This window comes from Homo sapiens, chromosome 8 (genome assembly GCF_000001405.40).
Source record: "Homo sapiens chromosome 8, GRCh38.p14 Primary Assembly".
NCBI classification, from domain to species: Eukaryota; Metazoa; Chordata; class Mammalia; order Primates; family Hominidae; genus Homo; species Homo sapiens.
In genome coordinates, this window is record NC_000008.11 from 1,177,973 (window position 1) to 1,205,407 (window position 27,435).

Genomic DNA, 27,435 nt, shown 5'->3' on the forward strand with positions numbered 1-27,435 from the left:
CAGCATCTCCCGGTGAAGGGCTGTGGCCGTGGCCAGTGGTGGTGAAGGGATTCGGCCATGGCCAGTGGTGGTTGGTGCCTCTCAGCTCATGGGACACGGTGCTCTGGGACCTGAGCTGGTGGTGTCAGAGTCATTACCCCAGAATCCAAGGCCTTGGAGAGAACTAGGGACCCCCGGAGGACTGCCTGAAGGCAGGGAAATGTTAAATTCAGGAAGATAGTAGTTAAATGTGCATAAGCAGGTAATGTCCCAGAGATGATTTATGGAGTTACCACGTGATAGCATTTGGTGGGTGAGGTTAGAGGGCTGTGAATTGTTCTTTTCTCATTTGGGCAAGACCTGCGCTTGGAGAGAGTGTCTGCTGGCCGGGGTTGCGGAGGGGCGGCAGCAGTGGCGGTGGCAGTGGTTGAGGGAGTTCCTAAGGCTTCCTTAATGGATTTGGGGGTTGGTGCCCCCACTCACTCTGTGTTTCTGTCCTGCTTCTGCTATAATAATAGACGTCCTTATTAAAACAGCTGAACATAAATATCAAGTAACGTTGACAAACACAGCACTTGGTTTCAACTGGGATTTAACGAAAGGCACCTTTTTAGGCAAAGTTAGACATCTCTCTTTTTTTTAGGTAAGCTTAGCTCCTACTTAATTTTGCCCAGATTCTGAAGTATAAATGCAGCTCAGCTCTCAAACCCACCTTGAATGGATTTTGGGAAGTGCACAAAATGTAGAAGTTTTAGCAACTGCTGGGCAGTGCTTTTCTTCCCCTTTGGCTCAGAGACAGTCTTACCTGCAATGATTCTCTGCCAATTCCAGGGAAGACCCAGGTCAGCTGTGCCCACCGCCAGCATCTGTCCACCCTGGTTTCTCACAAGAGGGTGTGGGTGTGATTCAGCTGCAACTGCTCTTTCAGTTAGGAGCCCCCCTGCCCCACACCATTGCCCCTTCAGCCTGGGCACACCGGCCTCTGCACCTGGGGCCCACGCCGCCCTGGTCTCGTCTCCAGTTCACCAGCTTTAGGTCCCTACAGATTAATTTCGAGCCCCTGCTGTAAAACTCCCAGCTTCTATAAGGGGTTGAGTTTTAAGAGCATGTGCACACTTAAACAGGCTTTAAAAGAAGCATCAAGTGACTTTTCTACACCTGTTTACGATACCAAAGTGCCTGGAGTGTTTCAGGGACTTAATTTCTTTAATCCCTCAAGTGCCCAAAGAAAGTAAATGGCAAAGCCTGTTGTTTTTCTCCACTTTGCAATTTGGGAGATGGGATGGCTGAGTATTTCAGAGGCCTTAGATGCAGAGTGGGGGTGGGTGAGCACTCAGCTCTCTCATTCCCCCACCCCCCATTTTCGCCTGTGCCAAGGTGGCCAGGCACCAGCTGAGGCTGTGGGTGGAGGGAGTGCTTCGCTGGGGGACTCTGACTGTGCAGTCGATGGACACTTGTGCTGCCAGCTTTCTGGGAAGGCTCAGCTCCCTGCTGTCCACACCTTCAGGAGCGTCCCCAGCAGGCTCTGCAAGAGACGTGGCTGCCCCACAGGCACCTGGCTGCTGGGATGAGGCTTCCACCTCTCTCCAAGTTTCCTTTTACTCAAGACGGTGGAATTAATTTGGCACTGTGTAATTAAATTAACTCTCCAAGTTGCCTTTGCATGCAGTTTTAAATAAAGCTGTTTTTCTATGTGTATTGCAATCCTAATTTGTGTTTTAAACATATATTAAGCGACCCTGGAATATCAGGGGCCACCTTAATATACAGTTACACAGCTATAATATTTTTATGAAATATAAATGGGAGTACAAAATTTTGAACTAGAGAATAAAAATATTTTAGGGTTCACGGCATACCCTTACATTTATACCCAGTGATTGCTAAGAATAGACTGAAAGATATTCAGTATATAACAGTAGCTAAAGTGTACAAATAATTATGTGAAAACAAAATAACGAGTAGATGGGAAATTAAACCGTGCCTTTAGAAATAAAGATTGGATGCTTGTTTGAGTAAATGCAATTAAAATACTTGGTGTTTTATACTAGCCAGTTAAAGTGAACACATAATTTTTTTATTTGAATGGAGAAGCACTGGCAAAGAATTGTTGAATGTTCATGTTGTATCAATTCCATAACATTCAATAAATAAGTAAAAATGGATGTGCCTTCACAGTGACGTGAACTTCCTCCTTTTCCAAACTGAGGACGTAAATTACACTTTTTTCTGATAAAGCCAGATTTGTTTTTTAATTGACTTATAACTTACAGTGAAGTGCCCAGATTCTAGCTACACATATGTCCATGTAACCCACATGCCAGTCAGACGTGGAACTCTTCCACACTGCAGAGCGTTCCCTCCTGCCAAATCCCAGTTACACCCTGGCCACCAGAAGCACGCTTCTGATTTCTTTGATTCATTTATTATCATTTTTGAGAAGGGGCCTCACAATGTTGCCCAGCCTGGTCTTGAGCTCAAGCAGTCCTCTGCTTCAGGCCCGTGTGCCTGGGATCTCAGGCAGGAGCCACCGTGCCCAGCTCTTAGTCTTCTGTGTTGCATCACCATGGATTATCTGTTGTAATTTCACACAAGAACCAGTGCGTGTGGCACACATCGTGTGCAATGGCAGCACACTGTCGAGTGTGTGTGGGTGTGTGAGGGCAGCACACCATCAAGCGTGTCAGTGTGCAAGGGCAGTATGCTTACCGTCGACTGGGTGTGCCAGGGCAGTACAATTACCGTCGAGTGTGTGTGGGTGTGCAAGGGCAGCACACTTACCATTGAGTCTGTGTGGGTGTGCCAGGGCAGTACAGTTACTGTCGAGTGTGTGTGGGTGTGCAAGGGCAGTACACTTACCGTTGAGTGTGTGTGGTGCACGTCCTGTGCAAGGGCAGTACACTTACCGTCGAATGTGGTGCATGTTGTGTGTAAGGGCAGTACACTTACTGTCGAGTGTGGGTGGCTGTGCAAGGGCAGTACACTTACTGTCGAGTGTGGGTGGCTGTGCAAGGGCAGTACACTTACTGTCGAGTGTGGGTGGCTGTGCAAGGGCAGTACACTTACTGTCGAGTGTGGGTGGCTGTGCAAGGGCAGTACACTTACTGTCGAGTGTGGGTGGCTGTGCAAGGGCAGTCACTTACTGTCGAGTGTGGGTGGCTGTGCAAGGGCAGTCACTTACTGTCGAGTGTGGGTGGCTGTGCAAGGGCAGTACACTTACTGTCGAGTGTGGGTGGCTGTGCAAGGGCAGTACACTTACTGTCGAGTGTGGGTGGCTGTGCAAGGGCAGTACACTTACTGTCGAGTGTGGGTGGCACACATCGTGTGCAAGGGCAGTACACTTAACGTGTTTCGTGGTCTGTAGAAAAATTAAAGCTTGAGTGCACTGTTTGATCTTTAACAATGGGAAGAGTGTTTTCTGTCCCTGTGTTAGATTGCTAAGGATAATGGCCTCCAGCTCCATCCATGTTCCTGCAGGGCACGTGATCTCATTCTTTTTAGTGGCTGCATAGTATTCTCACCTCTAAGTGGAGCTGAATGAGGAGAACTGACAGGCACCGAGAGGGACAACATACACAGTGGGGCCGGGTTGAGGGTGGGAGAAGGGAGAGGATCAGGAATTAACTAATGGGTACTAGGCTTAATACCTGGGGGGTGAAATAATCTATACAATAAGCCCCCACGACCCAAGTTTACTTCTAAAACAAACCTGCCCATTTACCCCTGAACTTTAAAGTTAAATAAGAAATGAACAAACGATGGGAAGAATGTAAATTTGCAATACTGAAGCAAAAGCAGCCCCGTGCTCCCCAGGCTGGGCTAGGGATTGATGGATGGAGACCCCGGGAGGAGGCACCCACGCAGAAGGCTATGAGTGACAGGTACCACCTTCCTCCCTGCACGGCACCCCCTGGAGAGGACTTTGCCATCGTCCCTGCAATCCCAGGACGCATTTCTCCTGTTCCTTGTCTGTGAACCGTTGATAGACAATAACATTTTAGGTGAACATAGATACAGCAGATAGTTGAGGCAGAAGGTGAAGTGGAGCTGTGGTTTCCAGAAGCTGACGTGGGAGGTTGCAGCCTCTGTGCTGCAGTGCGTAAGAGCCATGTGCCTGATAGATGGGTCTTGCTAAGGAGCTGATCTTCAGCTCACAACAGCGTCTCCTCCGTGTTCTGTTCCTGAGGTGGCGAGTCATGTGTGGCTGCCACTTCGTTTGCACGGGGCATCTCAGTCACGGTGCTCTAAGCAGGGCAGAAACCACTGTGCGTTCCCAACAGGGGCTTGGGGGCGACTGCCATGTTCCTGTTTTGGACAAATGGAGAAAAGGGCAAAGCTGTGTTCACCTGAGGTCCCTTGACTGTGGCAGTGCTCACACACACAACATCCGTGTGGGATGCCAGGTGGCTGGACTGAGAGTTGGCCCTTGTGACCCCAACAGAATTGTATCAGTAGGACCTGAGCGTGCATTTAATGCTCACACGTGTGATGTCTGCATGAGATGTGGGTTGCTGAATTCTCGTAGCCCTAACAGAATTGTGTCACTAGGAAATGAGCGTGCATTTAATGCTCACACGTGTGATGTCTATGTGAGATGCTGGGTGGCTGGATTTAGAGTTGGCACTTGTGGCCCTAACAGAATTGTGTCACTAGGAAATGAGTGCTTTTGGCAGTTGTTGCCTGTCCTTCTGTGACCTCTGCGTGGTGAGTTGGGCATTGAGCTGCCGTAGGTCACTGAGTCTGCCCTGCCATCACGTCTGCGCTGCCCTGAGACACGGAGCTCCAGCACATTCTGCAGAGCTCACACTATCGAGTCCAGCGCGCATGTGAGAGGCAGGAAGGGAGAGTCCACGGGTCGGCAACTCTGGGCAGTGGCGCGTGGGGGACGGACTCCGCAGCCTGTGGGATCGGCAGCATCCAGTGAGGTGGAGCGGGGCTCAGGGGCACTCAGGATGCAGTGAGCGCACAGCCCTGCGGTGGCATGGGTGGGAGACGCGCACCATGGAGCCGGTGGAAGGTAGACATTCGAGCGAGCTGGGGCCAGTTCCTGGAAGTGTGTCACTGCCAGTGCGGGGAACGTGAGATTTACTCACCCAGCAGCGGGACCTACTGGAGTGCTTTCGGTAAGAGCTGGGATGACACAAATGCATTCACGTTCGATTCCCTCGAGATGCCTTGTGGGTGGGGCAGGGAAACAAGGAGCTAGGTAAGGACACAGCAGCCAGGATCTAGGATGGAGCCGAGAGGGCGTCTCGGAGCGGGGTCCTGGCGTGGAGGGGAGGAGAATGTGACAGACATGGAGGTTCACGGAAGGGGAGACTCCAGAATAATATCAGTTCACACAATAAATAAAATAACTACATGGGAAAACAGCCAATTTGTAATTAGCCTAGCAATTATTTACTTTTAGATTATAGATGTGGCAGTGCTTGGTGTGTGCAAGTGTGTTTTCTGATATTGATATTTGATCTAGTTAGTTGACATTACTGATCTATAGAATGCACTGCTAAGAGTCATTGCAAATGTTTACTTGTCAGGAAGGGTTCCAAGCCCTGGAAATATCCTTACTGATTTGTTAATCACAGCAGCCTATGAGGTAGCTGCTGTTAGTATCCTCACCATGTTGCACATGCTGCCCGGGGCCACAGAGGCGGAGGTTTGCGAGGGAGGCACCGCTCCTGGCTTGAGTAAGTCCACAGGGCAGGCGGTGGAGCCCAGGAGACAGGGCAGAGAAGGCTGCTTCCACCCCAGTCCTCATTTCTGTTATCACCGCCTCCTGGTCCGAGGCATCTTTATTAATGAATGTCTGCTCTTTTTGAATCATAATTCTAAACGAAGCTGCAGAGTACGGAACACCCTTTGCAAGCCTTCAGGCAGAGAACGTACTGCCTCCATTCAGCAGGTGTGCACCCTGGGTAAATTATTTAAGGTCTCTGAGCCTTTGTCTATTTATCAAATAGGAATAATAGCATTTAATCATTGCGTGATTATTACATTAAAGTAATATATGTAAAAATGATATTTGGCCAATAAAAACATTTCTGTAGCTTTTCACCATGATCACTGTTAATATTATATGATGGTCATAGAACTCAGACAGCTGAAAGGCTTTGGGGAAGCAGTGTGTTTGCGTTGTGTTTGGGGAAGCAGCGTGTTTGCATTGTGTTTAAAGCCACTTGATGTCTCCAAGTTGCACAGCGGTCTCTTTTATGCAACCGTCATGCCTCATTCTAAAACCATAGAGAGCAAGCCATTTAAAAGGTTAAAATTTAAGTTGCACTAAAGAGAACATATACTAAAATATGAAGCATTTGTGATTTATTATTTCAAGACATGAAACTTGGTGAAAGTGTACACAGGTGCTCAGTAGTGGGAGATGCGTCCGAAACGCAGACTGGAGTGTGGGCGCTTCTGGGGAGCGGCTGTCCGCAAGCTCATGTCTTCCTTTCTTCTCTTGGTAACAGTTTAATGCTGGAAGCATCCCGTGTGAAGGAGACGGGCAGAAGAGGCTGAGGCCATTCTTCTCTGGGAGCCAGTGGGTACCCGGGGTGCACGCGCTGTTCTCAGGGCAGTTGGAGGGAAATCATCACTGCGAATTCTAGTGACCACAGAACGGGTGGTCGACCTGCATCTTAAACTAGTAGAGATTTCCCAGGCAGATGCCGAGCCTGGGGCTGGAGTGCAAGGTCGTTTTCAGCAGGCAGCACCCTCGGAGTTTGCGGGAAACAGTGGGGTGTGGTTAGGGAGCAGGAGGAGGCTCAGGGCAGCTGTAGCCTGGGAGGAGGGTGAGGCCACCGGGAGGCAAGCATGCTGGTGACGATGACTGGTTGGTGAATCTGGCCCTCTCCAGGCCTGGGCTAAGTGCTCTGCGCACGTTGCACGCCTTGGCCTTATAATCTCCATGCCAGTTAAGGATCTCCAGGTTGGAGGGAGCTCACTGTGTTGCAAAGGTGACTCACTTGCCCCAAATCATATAACCTGGTGCAGAAGAGGCAGATTTCAGACCCAGGTTTGCTAGGGAGCTCAGACTTTAGAGCAGGAGTGTGGGGAGCTGTTGAAGGGTCTGACCCGGGGGACGGGGGATGGTGAAGTGACTCGTTTCCCAGGAAAGGTCGGGCGAGGGTTCTGCGTCTTGCGGCCTCTCTTGGGGTGTTGGGGCAGAGGAGCACCCTGGCACTGGTGGCGACGGCATAACTGTTGAACACGTGCCGGGCGAATGCTGTTCATTTTTATTCCATTTGTTCCTCTCCAGGGCTCCACAGAAAGGTGGTTTTCCTGTATTTTCTAGCCCGATATAATGGGGGCTCTGAGAGTTTCTTTGTCAAACTTCAGGGCTGTGGTGCAATGGACATAAGCCTCGGGCTGAGTGACACCATCATTCTGCTGACGTCATCCTGGAATCAGGTGTTGTCTCCAGGGCACTTTCAGGGCCATCTGCAGGTACAAGGTGACCCCTAAGGCCGGTCAGCTTTGCCTCTGGGATGAGATAGAATGGTTTAAGATGCAAGTAGGATGCTGAAATTGACTAAAAGGAGGAATTTTTGGATGTGGGGTTGTTTGATCAAGCTCCTAGGAACCGTCATACCATCATTCCACAAAACATCCTAACATCCACTAGTCATTTATTGACTCGCTAATTCCATCATGCAAAATGGTAAAAAAGAAAATGTAAAAAGGACCACACAATTCCAAAAGCAGTAGAAACCAAGGCTAGTGGAAGAACAATGTAAACTAGCTGTAAACACACACACTCACACTCACACACACACACACACTCACACTCACACACACACACTCACACACATTCAGGAGATCCAGTCAGCAGTGCAGTAGGAACCAAGGCTGGTGGAAGAACAATGTAATCTAGCTTTAAACACAAACACACATTCAGGAGATCCAATCAGCAGTGACGCCCAACTTGCCCCACAGAGAACACTCCGGAACTGAGAAGCAGGTTCCCTTCTGCCAAGGACTTCTCGCCTCGGAGTTCCATGATCTCGGGGCCTCCTGTCACCTCCCTCCAGGAAGTATTAACCAGGCCAGCTTCCTTGCCCTGTCCCTGTGTTCATGAGTGAGTCAGGTTTGGAGTGTGGCAATGCGGGCTCTGGAGACAGCCCCAGGGTCGAATCCTGCCCGGGCCACCTCCCCACTCGGTGGCCTCGCCAAGGTGCTTCTCGCTTTGCGCCCTTGTCTGCGGGCAGAAGGTTTTGTGAACATTGGTGCCAGGATTGCGATGGGTCGGTGGCACCGAGGGCAGCGCTGCAGTCTGTGGTAGGTGCCCTAGCAGCAGCTATGCTGGAGTTACTAGAGGGCCGAGCATCTGCGAACCTTGGGGGCAGATCCAGCGTACTCACCATTAAGGCAGTTCATAAAATTATTTCCTCCTTATTCTAACCAGCATCGACATAGAATCTGCCAGCAGCAAAACTGTGACCAGGCAGAGAAACGGGTGGGGGACAGTTCCCAGGCCTCCTCTCCAGCCCGCTGTGCAGCGAGTTCAGTTGCTTCACGCCCTAAGCCAGCGAGTACCCATCAACAAGGCTGTCAGTGACTGCAGTGACTTCCAGGCGCCTTATCCTCTCTAAGCGTCCTGATAACCCTGAGAGATGTTATTACGGCCATTCCCTTTTTGTCATGGAGGTGGGGGGTGCGGTGTCTTCTGAGCTGATACTCCACTCCGTTGTGAGTATCTGTGGGATATGACCATTCCCTTTTTGTCATGGAGGTTGGGACTGGGGGGCCTTTCTGAGCTGATATTCTGTTGTGAATATCTGTGGGATAATTTCACGTCGTCGCCTCCCCTGGCTCTAAGGAGCTTGGACGTGTCTGGAGGTTCATGGAAGCCACCTGCAGGAGTGCCTGGCTTGGCTTTGCCTTTTTGTCTTCTTCCTGCTCTTCTCACTCACCTTCACATGCCCCCACGTCTGCCCTACCGCATCCACCCCATATCCCTTAAACAGGTATTTGGGAAATTGTGTGGGGCAGAAGGAAAATCCAGGAGCCTTGTTTTCCACATGTTTCCATCACACCCGTTAATTGAACAATCTAAGCCCGGCCTCAGTGCAGGTGGCGGTCGTGGGCCTTTCCCAGGCCCCAGAATCCCATGGAAGGGCTGTTCTGAGCAGCTGCTTGGAGATGCATCAATACGTTCAAAGATGATTGTCAGTTGCCAAAATAGCACTGGCTACATATTGACTGCAATTTAACAATGGGGGCAATAGTCACAACACCTGGGACCTCTGTGACATTTCCCTCACGGAATTTCACACGGGACCTCCGTGACGTTTGCCTCATGGAATCTCACACACACGGGACCTCTGTGACGTTTGTCTCATGGAATCTCACATGCCCGGGACCTCTGTGACATTTCCCTCACACGCCCAGGACCTCTGTGACGTTTCCCTCACGGAATCTCACACGCCCGGGACCTCCGTGACGTTTCCCTCACGGAATGTCACACGCCCGGGACCTCCGTGACGTTTGCCTCACGGAATCTCACACACCCGGGACCTCCGTGACATTTGCCTCACGGAATCTCACACACCCGGGACCTCCGTGACGTTTGCTTCACGGAATCTCACACACCCGGGACCTCCGTGACGTTTGCCTCACGGAATCTCGCACGCCCGGGACCTCCGTGACGTTTCCCTCACGGAATCTCACACACCCAGGACCTCCGTGACGTTTGTCTCATGGAATCTCACGTGCCCGGGACCTCTGTGACATTTCCCTCACACGCCCAGGACCTCTGTGACGTTTCCCTCACGGAATCTCACACGCCCGAGACTTCCGTGACGTTTCCCTCACGGAATCTCACACGCCCGGGACCTCTGTGACGTTTGCCTCATGGAATCTCACACGCCCGGGACTTCCGTGATGTTTCCCTCACGGAATCTCACACACCCGGGACCCCCGTGACGTTTGCCTCACGGAATCTCACACGCCCGGGACCTCCGTGACATTTGCCTCACGGAATCTTGCACGCCCGGGACTTCCGTGACGTTTCCCTCACGGAATCTCAAACGCCTGGGACCTCTGTGACGTTTGCCTCACGGAATCTCACACGCCCGGGACTTCCGTGATGTTTCCCTCACGGAATCTCACACACCCGGGACCTCCGTGACGTTTGCCTCATGGAATCTCACACACCCGGGACCTCCGTGACATTTGCCTCACGGAATCTCGCACGCCCGGGACTTCCGTGACGTTTCCCTCACGGAATCTCACACGCCCGGGACCTCTGTGACGTTTCCCTCACGGAATCTCACACGCCCGGGACTTCCGTGACGTTTCCCTCACGGAATCTCACACGCCCGGGACCTCTGTGACGTTTGCCTCACAGAATCTCACACGCCCGGGACTTCCGTGACGTTTCCCTCACGGAATCTCACACACCCGGGACCTCCGTGACGTTTGCCTCACGGAATCTCACACACCCGGGACCTCCATGACATTTGCCTCACAGAATCGCGCACGCCCGGGACCTCCGTGACGTTTCCCTCACGGAATCTCGCACGCCCGGGACTTCCGTGACGTTTCCCTCACGGAATCTCACACGCCCGGGACCTCTGTGACGTTTCCCTCACGGAATCTCAGACGCCCGGGATCTCCGTGATGTTTCCCTCACGGAATCTCACACACCCGGGACGTCCGTGACATTTGCCTCACGGAATCTCACAGCTCCTCCCAATAGAACAGCGACTCATCCGCCCAGCACTCCGGGGGCAGGAAGAGATGTTGCTTCTCTTTTTGGCAAGCAGATGAACAGTAATCATGAGTACAGAGTCTGAGATGTCAGCGTCTGGAAAGACATTTCCTGTTACACGCTGAACAAAAGCTTTGGGGTGACCACCTGCTGCGTCCTCAGGATGTGCCTTTTTTTAGGAAACAATGACTTGTCACTCCAAAAAGTTAAAAAAGCACCTCCAAATATATATGATGCCACATCTTCTCCTCACACAGGTTGCCTTGTGGTGCGGCTTCCAGGCCGGTTCCGCGGTTGGGGTTGACCGTACACAGGGTTCGGGCCCCAGGCCGGTTCCGCGGTTGGGGTTGACCTTACACAGGGTTCGGGCCCCATGGCGGTTCCGCTGTTGGGGTTGAGCATACACAGGGTTCGGGCCCCAGGCCGGTTCCGCGGTTGGGGTTGACCTTACACAGGGTTCGGGCCCCATGGCGGTTCCGCTGTTGGGGTTGAGCATACACAGGGTTCGGGCCCCAGGCCGATTCCGCGGTTGGGGTTGACCTTACACAGGATTTGGGCCCCAGGCCGGTTCCGCGGTTGGGGTTGAGCATACACAGGGTTCGGGCCCCAGCGGGAGTCACTGTCGCTCAGTGTCAAGGCCAACTGCAAGGGCGGGAGACCCAGGAGCCCATCGTAGGAGTCACACATCCAGCAGGAAGATAGGTCAACCTGGTCCCTAAATAACATTAAGACACTGAACCATCTGGAGTGCAGTTACCATGTCAGAAGCATTTGGAAGAGGAGTGGTCACCACCAAGAGACGTTTAAACCAGACCTTCTTTTATCCACTCAAGCAACTAGTGTAGAGTAACTCAAGTTTACACTTTAAGGATTATGAATTCACAGCATTTGGTTAGGGAAAGACCAGCTTAAACTCTACCTTTTATTGTGTAGAAACAGTATTTTTTGTCATTCAAGCACGTTTAGCAGTTGACGTGTGACATCCCCATGCCTGGAAACGGGATGGATCAATGACAGGGCCGAGTTTTCCCCTCAGGAAGTTTACAGTTTGTAATATGAAGCGAGCTCGAGTTATCCAATAGGCATTTGTGTTCAGGACACGGCAGATACAGCCGCCTGCCTGGGCCACTTCCATAAGCGGGAGGGCTGCAGGAGGGGTCCCCCTGAGGGCAAGAAGGGGCTGCTCCAGCAGGCAGGAGGCGGAGATTAAGGAAAATCACAGAGGTGATGGGGGAGGGTAACTCACGGCTTTGGGTGCCAGGAAAGGAGGTGAAAATCCTAGGAAAAGCCAAGTAGGGTGAATGAGATTGCAGCAAATTCTTAACACCATTAAAAGGAGAACCCCCGTTTTCTGGAGTTTAAAGGCCCTCCTTTATTCACTGAGAGTTGGCAGGCTAATTACGGGCTCTGGTTTTCTGCTCCTTGAGGGAAGTGCCCTCTGGACTCTTACTGCTAATAATAAACAACTGCACTTTGTAGGGCCTGAGTTGAGTTATGGATTGCACTTTAGATAAATAGATTCCATGTTGCCCTAATGCTCAGACCCAGACCTCTTCCAGATTCTGGTGGTCTCACAGAGAGTCCTCCAAGTCCACGGCACTCCCCACTTGCTGTGGTTTATGGCACCAACGTGCCCTCCATCTCCTCTGTTGCCTTTCACGTGGCTCGGTGAAATAGAAATGTGATGCTGAGGCCTGTGTTAGTTGGCAGTTATGTGCTTGGAGTGGCGAGAGTCAGGGTCGGGGCATCTGCTGTTGGGGCATCTGCTGTTGGGGCATCTGCTGTTGGAGTCGCTCCCCTGTGACACTGACACTTGGTGCCGGGCAATCTTTCCCGGCAGCATCTCATGCAGGAGGCACCCGTCCCGTTCGACGCCTCTGGCCGCCCCGTCCTTGCTTCTCATCTCACAGGGCACTGCGAGCCGCCTGTCGCAATCAGCATTGAGAGCCAAAACAGCTGTTTGGTGACTGTGCGAGGTTGTGAGTGTGTGGTTGGCTGGGAGGCTTATCCTCATCCTCCCAACCCCGTGTCTTACGTAGAGAAGAAGAAAGCCAGGGCCAGAGGTCACCTGCCTCAATGAAGGTCCTTACACCAGGGGCAGACCCATGACTAGAGCCCAGGTTCCAGGTGCACGCAGCAGCAAGGCGTGGGGTCTGTAGGGGGCAGACCCAAGACCAGAGCCCAGGCTCCAGGCGCACGCAGCAGCAAGCGTGGGGTCTGTGGCCGTTCAGTGCACGGGGCGTGTTTATGCACCATGCTTCTCCTATGGAAGCCGTCCCATGGTGCGACATCCCCAGCAGCGCAGCGAGGGGGGTGGGTGAGGCTTGGACCAATTCCTCATGGTCAGGGGAGCTAAGGGACCTGAGTCCAGCAGGTCCAGGATGACCCTGCCACATCCCACGGGGAGAGGCTGGGTTCTGAAGCTTTGAAGTGTTTGATTTATTTACGTGGGATGTCTTGCAATACATTTTGTGAATAAATTTCTTGTAACTAAGTGTTTCAATATAAGTAGATACATTTTTTTTTTTTTTTTGAGACGGAATCTCACTCTGTCACCCAGGCTGGAGTACAGTGGCGCGATCTCGGCTCACTGCAGCTCCACCTCCCGGGTTCAGGCCATTCTCCTGCCTCAGCCTCCCGAGTAGCTGGGACTACAGGCACCCGCCACCACGCCCGGCTAATTTTTTGTATTTTTGGTAGAGACGGGATTTCACCGTGTTAGCCAGGATGGTCTTGATCTCCTGACCTTGTGATCTGCCCGCCTCAGCCTCCCAAAGTGCGGGGATTATAGGCGTGAGCCACCGCGCCCAGCCGATACGTTTTATCTATAAGAAAATTCTACAATCCTGTCTAAAGTACTAAGTAAAACAAGAAGTAGAAAGTGTTATCTCTTGAAATTAATTCTGAAAATCCGCCCTCTGCACTTCTTACATAGAACAAGACAGGCAGCCACAACGCGCCGTATCTGGGTCCGTTCTCTGTTGCAATGAGCAGACAAAGCTTCAAAACATTAGAAATCAAGAAGGAACTTGAGCTCATTGCAACTAACTCTTTAATTTCCACCTCTGATCACACTTTACCCTCCTATTTTTATGTATTTTCCTTCTTCCAGGGGTCCTTTACCTTGAAATTCAATTGTATAGAAATAAACCGTATTATATAAGATATGCCTTTAAGCTGATATTACGTGTTCACATTACAGTCAATAGGAAGCGCCTTTATTCTTGGTGCAGTTGGCCCCTCTGAGCATGAAGCTCACTGATCCCTCAACTACGGCCATTGTTTTCTCATGTGCATGTGTAGCAATGACTTCAAAACTTAACATCTCAAAATCACAGCATGGGGCTGTGAGTTCCGGTTACCTTGTATGACTGGACATTCGTAGCCGCTGCCAGCCTCCCAGGGCTCTCTGAGATGGATTTGAGGTGTGCGTGGCCCCTGCACTTTCTAGATGGCTTTCTCCTCTCGTACGTGATGAAACTGGCTGCCGTGATGGGCTGGGCTTGGAGCTGTGGGTGGGGCTGTCCAGATGCTTCTGTTGCTATGATCAACCACAGCCAGGGCCATGAAGCAGGTGCCAGCTGAGCTGGGCAATGGGTTTAGCCCTTGTTTTCAAGTACTTATTTACGCTTATTAATTTTAAGTGACAAAAGTATATATTTATGGTGTAGAATATGATGCTTTGCATTGTGAATACCTTGCGGAATAGCTCGATCAAGCTGATTAACAGATGGATCACCTCACTTTTTTGCGGTGAGAACAATGAAATCCACTGTCAGTGATTTTCTAGAATATGATGTGTTGCTATGAACTGCAGTCACCGTGATGAGCAATAGAGCTCTTAAACCTGCTCCTCCGTCTGTCTGAAATCTCATGCCCTTTGTCCAGCCTCTCTCAAGTCTGTCCCCAGCCCCGCCCTCCCTCTCCACTCCCACGAGTCTGAGTGTCTTGGATGCATCATGTCAGTGAGTGAGCTCTGGGGTGCTTGGCTTTATGTATCTGGTTTCTTTTTTTTTTTTTTAATTATTATTATACTTTAAGTTTTAGGGTACGTGTGCACAATGTGCAGGTTAGTTACATATGGAAACATGTGCCATGTTGGTGTGCTGCACCCATTAACTCCTCATTTAACATTAGGTATATCTCCTAAAGCTATCCCTCCCCACTCCCCCCACCCCACAACAGGCCCTGGTGTGTGATGCTCCCCTTCCTGTGTCCAAGTGATTTCATTGTTCACTTCCCACCTATGAGTGAGAACATGCGGTGTTTGGTTTTTTGTCCTTGTGATAGTTTGCTGAGAATGATGGTTTCCAGCTTCATCCATGTCCTTACAAAGGACATGAACTTATCAATTTTTATGGCTGCATAGTATTCCATGGTGTATATGTGCCACATTTTCTTAATCCAGTCTATCATTGTTGGACATTTGGGTTGCTTCCAAGTCTTTGCTATGGTGAATAGTGCCGCTATAAACATACGTGTGCATGTGTCTTTATAGCAGCATGATTTATAATCCTTTGGGTATATAACCGGTAATGGGATTGCTGGGTCAAATGGTATTTCTAGTTCTAGATCCTTGAGGAATCGCCACACCGTCTTCCACAATGGTTGAACCAGTTTACTGTCCCACCAACAGTGTAAAAGTGTTCCCATTTCTCCACATCCTCTCCAGCACCTGTTGTTTCCTGGCTTTTTAATGATCGCCATTCTAACTGGTCTGAGATGGTATCTCATTGTGGTTTTGATTTGCATTTGTCTGATGGCCAGTGATGATGAGCATTTTTTCATGTGTCTTTTGGCTACATAAATGTCTTCTTTTGAGAAGTGTCTGGTTTCTGTCACTTAGCACCATGCGTTCAGGGCTCATTCACGCTGAAATCCACAGATGGCAGGGTTTGCTTCTTGTTTAAAGCTGGATATACGCTGCTGTGTCCACACACCACCCCATTATCTGTGTGTCCGCTGGTGGATACTTAGGTTGCTTCCCTGGCACGGCTGTTTCTGTGAACGATCCCATTGAAGCCACCTGAGTCTCGCGTGGCTGGCCCTCTCTGCACCTGAGACTCCCGGACAGCATCCGGGTTGGGGGTCCTGTGGAGCAGATCCCAGTCTCGGCCTCTAGAGCCTCCGCACCATGCCCCCTGCAGCCAGCACCTGAGACCCCCAGACAGCATCCGGGTGGGGCAGATCCCAGCGTCGGCCTCTAGAGCCTCCGCACCGCGCCGCCCCCGCCTCCTGTCCCCAGCCAGGAGGAGCCGCTGGAGGGACGTTTTCGTTCTCAGTAATTTAAGGTCTTTGCTGAGAGCTTGACGGGAAGGAAGTCGTAGTATCTGAAGCCTCAGGTGAAATTTCTCCTTGGCATTACCGGGACCAAATCCACGTACTGTGACATTCAAGTCAACGTGACAGGTGTGAACTGGGATGCCGCAGTATACCAAGTCCAGTTTTGACGCTGTGGAAAATTAGATAAAGTGAGTAAGACACAGTCCCTACCCTTGAGGGGCGGGGGAATTTTAAAGAAGAAACTGCCGCCTGTGGGAGGCCACGCCTTGTTCTCAGCCCGACTCAGGAGGAGCTCAGCTGCTGGCAAGTTGGAAACACAGGCTCTGCGATTTTGAGAGTGAACCTGCAAGAGACAAGCAGACGTTGGCAGTGCCGCGTCCCGGCTGGTGGAGGGAGCCCGGATGCCTGGCAGACAGTCAGTGGTCGGTTGGCGGCCGGCCCACATAAGGGCACCATGCTCACCGTGTCTAGGCAGAGCTGGAGGCTCCTCCTGCCCAGGGCGGCCTCCAGGTGGGGAGGACGGCAGAGCTTCCCTCAGTCCCACTTTCCAGGTCATCCCCAGGGGTCCCTCTGGGTCACTCCTTGTGATGTGAAGAAATTCTCCATCACATGCAGAGTTCAGGACCAGTCAGGAAGCCCTCAAGCACCCACGCCTGCCTGTTCAGCAGGGAAGATTCTGGAAGCCGAGTCCTTGCTATAGGAACGTGTTGGGGCTGCTGCTTTGGGAAACTCACCTGACCACAGGGTCGTCCCGGAGCTGCTTCAGGTGTCCTGGGCGGCTGTGGAGAGTCCCTGGGCCCGATGAGCTTCATTAGACCTGAAGTTTGGAACCCTCTGTTCCCTACAGAAGTCTCTTATCGTCCTCTCTGGCTTGAGGCCACCACTGTGACGTGTGTGGCCAGGGTTCTTCGCTCAGTCTCAGACTCTAGGGCTGTGTCTGTGCTTGGTGCTCACGCTTTGCTGCTGAGACCACCTGGGCGTTCAGTTGTCAACTACCAACGGACAGTCAGGGCTGTCCCAGCATAGGGCTGCACCCCCTCCGCTCTCCCGGCCTTCATTCCTCGTGCCCTGCTCTCCTGAGAAGCTTGGGCACACTTTGTTCGTTTCAGAGGCGTCCGCCCCAGCATGAGTGCTCAAGCTCTTTCCAGGCCCCCGGCATCCTCATGGCTGCAGCAGGTGGAGATTAGACTGCCCCTGGTCGCAAAGGCGTCAGAACAGTGAACATCTGAAGAGACGAGGGTGTCAGGAAGGTGCCCCATGGTCATCCCAGCTGGGACTGGGGCTGCTGGTGTCCAGGACAGGCCTCCCAGTTCTGCCTCCCGCTGGCCAAGCACCCAGTTAGAACTGGCTTCCCTGCACCCTCAGGAGCAGAGCCTGAAGTCAGGGCTGTCTACCAGGCATGGAGGCCTGGCCAGATGCACGCAGCCACCGACAGGTCAGAGACGGAGGATATATGTGTTATTAATGAAAAACATGGTGAAGTGTTTTTAAATGGGAAACAGGCTGCACAGTGAACCAGGACAGAAAACTGTTTTCAGAAAGCACTACTGAGAAAACAATTGTTTCCCCACTTGGAAAAATGCTTGCTGCCTATCCAATTACTTGGTACCTTCCTAAAAATAGTCTTTTAAAAACATATAATTCTTAATTCACTCATAAAACATCTAATTCTTATGTAAAAATTTCTGTAATTATTAAAAAATTATCTTCCAAAGGATTCTCTTCTTTTTTGTTTATGGACGTCTTATCAGGCATTAGGGGCGTGTGTTGTATGTCAGAACGTTTGTTTAATTTTAGTTACACAGATAATCGCATCACCATCGTTGCTCACCCAGGAGCTGACCGTGTGGCGCGTTCCCCGGAGTGCGTGACCTGCTCCGAGGCCTTGCAGCGGTAGATACGTTCTGCGAAAACGCTTCCAAATGAGGGTCATTTTTCTTAACCGAAGTTTTTAGCATTTCTAATTCTCCCACAAAGTGCAAGAATATTTTGTTTCAACTTAATTAATAGTTACCTCCATGTTTGGATTGTCACACTGGGCAGCTGTGGGGATGCTCACGTTCGTGAGCAGAGTTAAGCTTCTCTCAAATAGCCATGACGTAGAGAAAAATGAAACTGAGGCCACAACCTGGAAAGCTGTGTCATAACTTAGGCATCACCGATATCCAGGGCCCCGTCACATTTTTTCCTGATCCACTTAACTGCTTGTTGTAGTAGTGCTCACCTGTTAAAGACCCTACTTTCATGTTATGTGTTTTGTTTGGTAAAATATCCTTCAATTCTTTTAGAAGTAGGCCACGTTTCACTGTGTGTGTGTAAATGCATCTGCATAGAGTAAAGCATTTGTGTCCACACACTGCAGTGACAACTATTTCCCAAGCACCATGAAATTCTCCTGTTTGGAGTGTACCTGTCTTTCCCCCATCCCCAGGTGTCAGCACAGGGGCTAACACAGGGGAGAAGCCAGATAGGTGTGTGATGTTAATGCTGAGTGAGTGAACGAGACAGTGATCCTGTGCCCCCGAAGGAAATATTCGTGCTTTCCTCACGTTTCAAGCCTGAGCTGGAACAAGTCGTCTGTGATTTTCATAGCATGGAGTTTCTCAGCTGATAAGCAAAAGAATAATGACAAAAAAGTGGCTGTCATCACCAACAGCACTTGTGCAGAGGCATCTGCAGGTCGAGGGGGGTATCTCTGAGATGAAAAGAGTAATTTGAAAACCACATATGTCAGGAAAGGTAGTGCCATCTGCCATGATTTCCCAAGCAGCCGCACGTTGTCAGTGGGGCTCCAGTAGCTGCAGTAGGAGCCTGTGCCTCCTGGCTTGGACGGCTGCATGTCAGCTGCAGCAGTGATGAGCCAGGGGCGGTAACTGCTCATCACACATACACCAGGGTTCTCCCGAAAAGTGAGACTGACAGGATATATACAGACAGGCAAGAGGGGATTTATTATGGGAATTGGTCGCTGTGATTATGGGGGCTGAGAGGTCCCACTATTGTCCATCCACAAGCTGGAGACCCAGGGAAGCCAGAGGTGTGATTAAGTCTGCGTTTGAAGGCCTGAAAATCGGGGTGGGCAATGTCTGTGGTCAGGAGGAGATGGAGGCCTCGCCCAAGAAGAAGGAACAAATTCTCCTTTCTCCACCTTTTTGTTCTTCCTGGGCCCTCAGTGGATTGGAGGATGCACACCCGCATTGCAGAGTCCAGTGCAGGTCTCTTCTGGAAACGCCGTCACAGACACACACGGAAGTCATGTTCCCACATTGCAGAGTCCACTTCAGGTCTCTTCTGGAAATGCCATCACAGACACACCCGGAAGTCATGTTTCACCAGTTACCTGGCTATCACTTATCCCTGTCCATGCTGACACAGAATTCACCACGACACCCTCCCTCCTCTTCTGCTCAGTACCTGAGCCCTTGTCTCAATACCTGAGCCTTTTCTTTCCGGGGAACCCAAACCAAGACAAAGGCCCTGGATAGAAAATGCTGTAGAAAAAGGGCTACTTCATAGCCCAGGGTCAAGCACTGTTTATGTTCCATAAAGCTAAGCCACATGGATGCGGAGCAGCTGGGCCACCAGCTGTCTACATAAACCTGAGCTACACCAACATGTAGCATCCAGGCCACCAGCTGTCCACCTAAACCTGAGCGAAGCCAATGTGGAGCATCTGGGCCACCAGCTGTCCATATAAACCTGAGCCACGCCAATGTGGAGCATCTGGGCCACCAGCTGTCCATATAAACCTGAGCCACGTCAATGTGGAGCATCTGGGCCACCAGCTGTCCATATAAACCTGAGCCACGCCAATGTTGAGGGTCTGGGCCACCAGATGTCCACATGAACCGCACTACCTTTTTCATCTCCTGGGCCTCCTGCAGCGTTCCCTCCCATGGGGGATGAGTGGAATCAGGTTTCTCGTCTCCTGGGCCCCCTGCAGTGTTTCCTCTCATGGGGAATGAGTGGAATCAGGGTGCATCCTCCCAGAACTGGCCCACATGTGCATCTGTCCTCACCCTTGCACACCCATGTCTGTCCTATGAGTGACCTTTGAGGAGTAGCCTGGGTCATTCAGGGACCCACTGGAAATGAGCCATGGCCGTGGATGAGGAACAGAGGCCAATTCTGTGGACTGTTACCTGTGTGGTTCTGTGTGTGTGTGTGTACGTGTGTGCGTGTGTGCGTGTGGGTGTGTGGACGTAGACTCCCACACAGGCCCTCCGGTGTGGTGCTGGGCTATGCTGCGGCGAAAAGGAGCAATTTCCTTGAGGATTCCAGCTCCTCACCCCCATTAACAAGCTGCACATCCCTCTAAGGAGGAAAGGGACTTTTGTAAGCTTCAAGTTTGTGACCAGAAAGCAGCCCAGAAAAACCTCCCTATTGTTTTGAAATGACAACAACAGCTTCGTCGTGGGGCGTCACGCATGTTGCACCACTGCTTTCCACAGAGAGCTGCCTGGACCTTGTGTCCTGGGTGTGCAGAGGGAGCGCAGGTGGCAGCTGCCTCCCACCCACCTCTATAAGTGCAGGTGGAGCCAGGGCCTGTGGTCCAGAAGGATGAGCATCCCCCAGAGCTCGGGGGAAGGGGCTGCGAGGAGGGCACTCATGACTCAGGAGGGCCAGGTCCCAGGTGGCAGGTATGGTTTGCAGATGAGAGTGTGTGCTCTGCAGACTGGCAGACCCCAAAAGGCAAGGGGAGAAAGGCCGAGCCGCTCAGGCCCAGCTCCACCCCATGTCCATGGGTCAGGCAGGCCCCTCATGTCCTGAAGAGACACGTGTGCCTGGGTGTGCGGGAAGGTGTCCTTTGGCAAGACCACACCTGAACGATGCTTCCCCTTTCCCTCGGGAGTGAGCCCTACAGCAGGGGGATGGGCACCTCCCTCCTGGGCTAGGCATTGGTCTTGGCTGGGGGTTAGGAGCTGCACCCCCACGCCTGCCTATGCAGGTGCACAGGGAAGGGTGGCAGCGGGCGTGTGTGCCCGGGACCTGGATACAGGCAGACTGTGCTTGGCAAGGGCTATACCAGTTGTGGATGAATCCTCAGAGCTGAGTTTCAGCTGCTCCTTAAAATGCAGCAGAGGTCGCGTGGTTGAATAAAGGTGAAGTTCCAGACTTCCAGACTGCTCAGTTTAGAAAGGATCTAAGTCATCTGAAATAATTAAAGAGTACTTAAACACACATACACACAACAACAACCGCAGCAACAGTCGTCTGAATTACTGAAGAGAATTCTGGGGTATTGATGAATAGTGTAGAAATGAGATTTTAATATCTTCACTCAGTGTGGATAATTGAAAGCATGGCTGAATAGATATCGTTGAAGACTCTGCTTCACTCAACAGATATCTTGCAATATTTGAGCAGGTTGAGCTTCTCCCTGGTGATCTCTTTTGGCTATTAATCTATGTAGCAGTTTCTTTTTTGCATACTTAGTAGAAAAATAGATTCCAGGATTACAGAAGAGAAGTGAGCGCTTATTACAAATTAGTGGACATGTTAAAATGTTGGATAAAAGTAGGGTAGGAGGACACAGTAAAGGCACAGGCAGTCCAGTGAAGGCTGCCTGTGTGTCTGGATCACAGCACAGCTACCTCTTCTAGGTCAGGAGACTCAGCAGTTGGCTTCAGAAAAGTAATGACCTCGGGAAACACCATCTTCATGAGCCAAACTCATGCCAGCCAGATGGGCGCTAGAAAGTGAATGCTGTCCTTTTAGTGAAAAATCCCACTTTCTGATGGAGAGTCTTATGGGTATTTGCACTCGGTGGCTCTCACTCGGGCTGAATGTTTGTATCTAGGACACTTTAGCATGAGAGCTCTTGCATGATGGAAGGTGTGTATGGAAACACTTAAACGATGATTATTTTCAGATCAGTGAAGAGGGAAAAAAAATAACTCTTAGAAACACTGGAATCATCGGCTGTGTCACTGGGTGGAGAGTGTGATCTCTACACCGCCCCCTCCCCTGGTGATGACAGCCACGAGGTGGAAGGATTCCCCCCCACAACCCCCCGCAGAGGCCGGGTCTCAGCAGGGGTCAGTCTGTGCATCCCCGGGGGTCCCATCCTGTGGAAAAGTGTGGGGAGGCTGGGGGTGACCCCGAGAACAGGAGGATGAGGACGACTCCGTACAGGGAAGCTGGGATGGATGTAGGCTGAAGGGTCGGGGGCGTGGGGGCCGGGAGCGGATCCCTGCACAGGCCCACAGGAGAGGCTGGGTTTCCCTGGCCCCCGTGCTCTCCTCCCCACCGTGCAGCACCGGGTGTCACCTTCCTCCTGGGACAGCTTCGTGTCTTTTCCTCACTGCCTCTTTCCCCATCGAGGCTTCATGCGCCGTCTCCAGCCTCTTGCTCCGGGGTCCTGCGTGTTCTTTTCTCACTGAGCTCAGTCCCGTGGCCCCGGCTCCTAATTCATCTTCAGAGCTTGTTAAAACTGTGCTTTCCGATGTATTTCCTCAAGGACAGTCACTAGCAGTTGTTCTGAAATGATTCATGGTGTTTCCGTTCACACTGCGATGCTTGTTCCTCATAAACCATCCATCTGGCCTCGTGCTCCTCGGGGGCTGAAGGGCCTGGATGCTGATTGTTCTCTGGTCTGACCCGCCAGCTCCTCGGACCTCCGGAAAGAGCCTCCCGCCTGCACGTCCCACTGCCACGTCCATTAGCGTCACCAAAGCGTCACTTGCGCTGGACGGCAAACTGCAGATGTTGGTTTGACAAAGCCTCAGGGGAGCGCACAGCCCTTGACCTTCAAAGGTTGGATCTTATTTAGAGACACGTTGAAATCAGCCTGGATTCGGACTTACAGAGCTGTAATAACACGGGTTCCTGACTTGCTGGACGGAAGCTTCCAGAAGACTCTGAGAGAATGGAGAGTGGCAGCTTTCGCTTTGTTTTCCGTTCCCACATATCGGTTTGGCATCGAACGATGCGTCCGCTGCTGGCTCCCGTGCTCGGTTTCTCCACGCCGCCTCCGGGCGGTGCGCGATTCAGCTCCAGGAGCGTGTTGTGCACGGCGGGGCGCTGCGCTCGGCCTTAGGGAAAGAAGGCGCGGCTGTCTCCCCGGACCCCACCGTTAGGGACCCACACCTAGAGGTGAGTGTGGCGTGAGCGGCCAGGCGGGTGCCGAGATGCCCAGAGACCAGCACTGGGGAGGCTGCTCCCCGTCCCCGAGGCCTGGAGCCGTGGGAGGAAGAGGAGGATGCCACGGAGCCCTGTGGAGGCTGAAGCCGCTGCGTAGGGAGCCCCTTGTCCATCAGGGTTCTCGAGAGACGCAGAACCAGGGGTGCATGCACGCGTGTGATTGTGGAGGCTGGCAGGTCCCAACCACAGAGCCGAAGTCCCCAGCATCCCCGCGCAGGTGTGAGGCCCTCAGCGACCCTGGAACCAGCAGGAGCTCTGCTCCCGCTCAGGGGCCGTGGGGCAGGGGGCTCCCCCTTCCTCGGGAAGGGACGGCCTTCTGTTCCCTGCAGGGCTTCAAGGATTGGATGAAGACGCCGAGAGGACCTGGAAGGGGAGGAAGATTCTCCAGAGCCTCCAGAAGGAAGCCAGGTCCTGGGGACAGTGTGCTTCAGCCCAGGGAGTCCGTTTTGGACATCGCATCTCCGGACGGATATAGATCGCTTTAGACACCCAGTGTGTGGTCACCGGCACGGCAGGGGTAGACACAGGTGCAGCTCACACAGGGATTTACACACTCAGAGCTCCTGGTTCAGTGCCTGTTTGTCAGATGCCTGTGACGTGGTCCAGGCCGTGGGATCCAGTGAATGGAGCTTGACCCAGAGCACATTTCCCTGTGAGGGGCTTGTGTGCTGTGCCCTCCCTCATCACCAGGCAGCATCCGCAGACACACAGCGGTGCCTCTGTGTACGTGTGTGCGGTGTAGGTGCTTGTGTGTACACATGTGTGTATGTGTACGGTATCTATCTGTGGTGTGTGTGTAAGCATGTGGTGTGTATGTACATGTGTGCACATGTGTGGTATCTAGCTCTGTGTGTGATGTGTGTATGTGTACACATGTGGTGTGTACAGTATCTGTGTATCTGTGTATATGTGGTGTGTGTGTATACACATGTGTCTATGTACATGTGTGCACATGTGCAGTATCTATCTGTGTGATGTGTGTGTATGTGTACGCCTGTGGTGTGTGCAAGTGTGCACATGTGTACAGCATCTGTGTATCTGTGTGTCTGTTGTGTGTGTATACACATGTGGTGTGTACAGTATCTGTGTATCTGTGTGCGTGTGGTGTGATGTATCTGTTGGTGTATGTGTATGCATGTATTCTGTATGTATAGATGCAGTGTGTGTGTGTGTGTGTGTGTGTGTGTGTGTCTGTGGTGCATGTATGTAGTATATGTGTGTGTGTGTGTGTATGTACTGGGGGTGAGGCCTGGGCCAGGGGCAGGCACGGCTCCTCTTGGCACCTGTTGTGCTGTGCAGTGGACGTCCATGCTGTTGTGGGGCGTGTGTGAGCCCTCAGGACTGTGAGGATGTGTGGTTTCAGTTTGGGTTTCTTATAATGGGGAATCATTACCCTTTCTGTAGGAAGAAGGAGATGTCAGACATACAAAAACATGTTTTAAGGAATGTATTCCAAGTCCATTTTCTAATGCAGAGGAATTCCCCAGGAGATGGGAGGTGTGGAGACACCACAGAGGCCGTAACACGGGACAGTCACAGGCAGAGGCTCTGGGGATGGGGGGCCAGGCAATGCCTCCTTCACCTGTCCCAGTCAAGGCAGCAAGTGGGGCCCCAGGATCCCTACTGCCCAACGCTTCCTCCTCAGTCTCCTGTGCACCTGTGTGAGATCCAGAGGCCTCAGGCATTCACCTTGAATCCACCCAAATGACAATCACCCAAGCCACTGAACACGCCTGATCAGATGCAGCTCGAGGAAAAAGCAGCCATGTCTTGTCTGAGCTGTTAATCAGCCGCTGCCCACCGACCAGCCACGCCTCTTCAAGGCGCACGCATTTTTCACAGATGGGGTGAGCACATGCGCTCCCGAGAAGCTGAGCGACATCACGGTTTCCGTGTACTCCGGTGATTGCAGAGTTCTCCTCGCCACCACCCCATCCATCTGCCGGGCACCCACATCCACGCCGGTTCCGTAAGCTGCTCTCCGGCTCTCCCAAATGGGCTGCTTGGGTGTTTCTCTTAGGGTTTTTGTTTGTTTGTTAGTTCGTTTGTTTGTTCGTTTGTTTGTTTTGAGGTCTGTTATTCCTATTAACACGATGTGTGTGTCCTGCACGAGGGGATTATAGACGTGTGTGTCCTGCAGCACCCACCCCTCAGTGTTAGAATCCATGAGACTAGTGTGTCCTTCGGTGATGAGGCCGCCCACCCCTCGGTGTTAGAATCCATGAGACTGGCGTGTCCTTCGGTGACGAGGCCACCCACCCCTCGGTGTTAGAATCCATGAGACTGGCGTGTCCTTCGGTGACGAGGCCGCCCACCCTTCGGTGTTAGAACCCATGAGACTGATGACCCTGAGAGTTGAAGCTTCACAGAAAGGAGGCCTCCCCAAAGTGCCTTTTCTGCGTGTGCATTTTGCGTGTCCTGAGTAGGGATACCCTTCTCAGCGATCTCTGTGGAACAGATGCTAAAGGTTCTCTTTTATCTAGCAGATTCTCTACTCTTCCCTTTAAGTTTCAGCTTCTCGTTTGAATGTACTTCCTACAGATAAGAAGAGATGTCTTTATATCAAGGAATGGATGACGGTGCGAAGAACTGAGTTTATAGAAATCCCCTTATTCTCGCTCTATACCCAACCACACACACAAATGATTTCTCCACTCTCACTTTACAGTGATGAAATATCACTGTTATTCTAATGCAGCCAATGTCACCTAAAGGTTGTCCTCTGTGTTCTGGTGAGTGGATGGTGCAGCAGTCAGGGGGCTGGATGAAGGCAGGCTCGTTCTCATTTAGGGAGGAGTAGGAAGTGCCTGTATCAGGACTCAGCCTGACCACCTGTGAGCCTGCCCCTGGGTGTGTGCATGTCAAGTGTCAAAAAATAGGTCACTTCCAAAAAGGCGTTCTTTTGAACTAAGCATGTAGGGTAAAGTAGTGCTCTTGAAACTTCAATGTGCTTACGAACCACCTGAGGATCTCAGGAGAATGCAGATTCTGACTCATGGGTCTGGAGCGGGACCTGAATTCTGCATCTCTGAAAAGGTTGCCATACATGGCAGCAATGCCGGTCCACAGACCAGAGTTTGAGTAGTGAGGGGGTAAGTCACACCCATCACAGAATATCAGCGGGTTTTTATCTGCTCCTACTGTGTGCCCTGCGCTGTGTTAGATTCCGCGAGAGATTGAAACTAAACAGGATGAGACAATCTCATCATCTTCTGAGATCGGAAGTTCTCACGAGAGAACAATTACAGGCCATGGTGTGGAAGAACCCGGGGATTCTGGGATTTAAAGAAAGATGGATTTTGGAGTGAAGTGATACTCACAGGTGTGAGTGACGGTGGACCCCGGCTGGAAGCCAGGCTGACCGTGTAATGACCGTGTGTGGTCTTGAGCAACTTACTGCATACCTTCATCTATTCGATCTTAGTTTTCACACCTGGTGAAACTGGACAAAGAACACTTGTGTGTGTGTGTATATGTCTATATACACCTATGATGTGATAGTTTGGGTAATTTTGAGGCCTGAAGGACAGGAGAGACAGGCTGGGAACTGCATGTTGGCTGATTCGCCAAAGAACCCAGCCCATTTCCCCATCCTTCTTGTGAGATCCTTGACATCTGCCTGGAAATGAGGGAGGGATGGAGATGGATGAGGCAGTAGGAGAGGAGAAAGCAAGGAAGAGGGAAGAAAAAATCTGAATAAGAGGTTCTTAGGGGCAGTAGAGTGCAAAGAGAGAGAAGCTTAGATTTATGAGGCTGAACTAAATTACAGATGGCCTTGAACACCGGCCCTCTCCAGAGCCTGGACTTGGTCCCAGAGCTGACCAGGGCTGTTTGCCTGGAACAGGAGCAACAGATGAAAATGGTCCTCCAGCAGGATTAATTCAGTGGGGCTGACAGCTCCATTGTAACATCCAGTCAGTTGTCTGTTAAACGGAGCCGTAATTGCAGTCATTAGGGCTGGTCTCTGCATCATGGGGAACCGGAATGTGGTTGGGTTTCCTGTGTTTCCTGTCCGTCAAGGAGGGGCCAGGTGGGAATTTCTGCATCTCACGTCCCTTGTCCTGGAAAGGTCCATCGCGTTTTTTCCTCTCCTAAGAGAAAACCAGTTTTGTTTTTATTTTTTGTAACTGTAGGTTAAGAAGTCAATGCTCTGCCTCAGTAAAGTGATAGTTTTATAGCTGATGTCGAGGAGGTGTGTCCAACCAGGAGGGGTCGGGGATAGCCCCTGAGGCGACGGGCAGCCTGTTCCTCAGGGTCTTGGCTATTTGAGAAAAGGAAGGGTCCAGAAGTGCAGGCTCTTCCTGAAAAGGCTCTAGAATCACATG

The 27,435-nt window shown here is 51.6% G+C and overlaps 1 protein-coding gene across 1 annotated transcript in view, besides 4 other annotated features; it reads left to right on the top strand.

The window, feature by feature from the left end:
• DLGAP2 (DLG associated protein 2) overlaps positions 1–27,435 on the top strand; it is a 970,849-nt gene that overhangs the window by 440,345 nt on the left and 503,069 nt on the right. The gene's annotated exons all lie outside the window — the stretch shown is intronic.
• Positions 9,220–10,419: an enhancer, noted in NCBI's record as "P300/CBP strongly-dependent group 1 enhancer chr8:1137192-1138391 (GRCh37/hg19 assembly coordinates)". NCBI's record gives its function as "activates an origin of replication core promoter dependent on BRD2, BRD4, P300/CBP, MED14 and CDK7 cofactors, with strong dependence on P300/CBP, by STARR-seq in HCT116 cells {active_cell/tissue: HCT116}" and the evidence as "EXISTENCE:reporter gene assay evidence [ECO:0000049][PMID:35650434]".
• Positions 15,872–16,378: an enhancer, noted in NCBI's record as "H3K4me1 hESC enhancer chr8:1143844-1144350 (GRCh37/hg19 assembly coordinates)". NCBI's record gives its function as "activates a minimal SCP1, AML or CMV promoter by ChIP-STARR-seq in naive H9 embryonic stem cells {active_cell/tissue: H9 hESC(naive)}" and the evidence as "EXISTENCE:reporter gene assay evidence [ECO:0000049][PMID:30033119]".
• Positions 16,379–16,884: an enhancer, noted in NCBI's record as "H3K4me1 hESC enhancer chr8:1144351-1144856 (GRCh37/hg19 assembly coordinates)". NCBI's record gives its function as "activates a minimal SCP1, AML or CMV promoter by ChIP-STARR-seq in naive H9 embryonic stem cells {active_cell/tissue: H9 hESC(naive)}" and the evidence as "EXISTENCE:reporter gene assay evidence [ECO:0000049][PMID:30033119]".
• Positions 23,148–23,348: a silencer, noted in NCBI's record as "peak6884 fragment used in MPRA reporter construct". NCBI's record gives its function as "represses an SCP1 promoter by STARR-seq MPRAs in K562 erythroleukemia cells {active_cell/tissue: K562}" and the evidence as "EXISTENCE:reporter gene assay evidence [ECO:0000049][PMID:32103011]".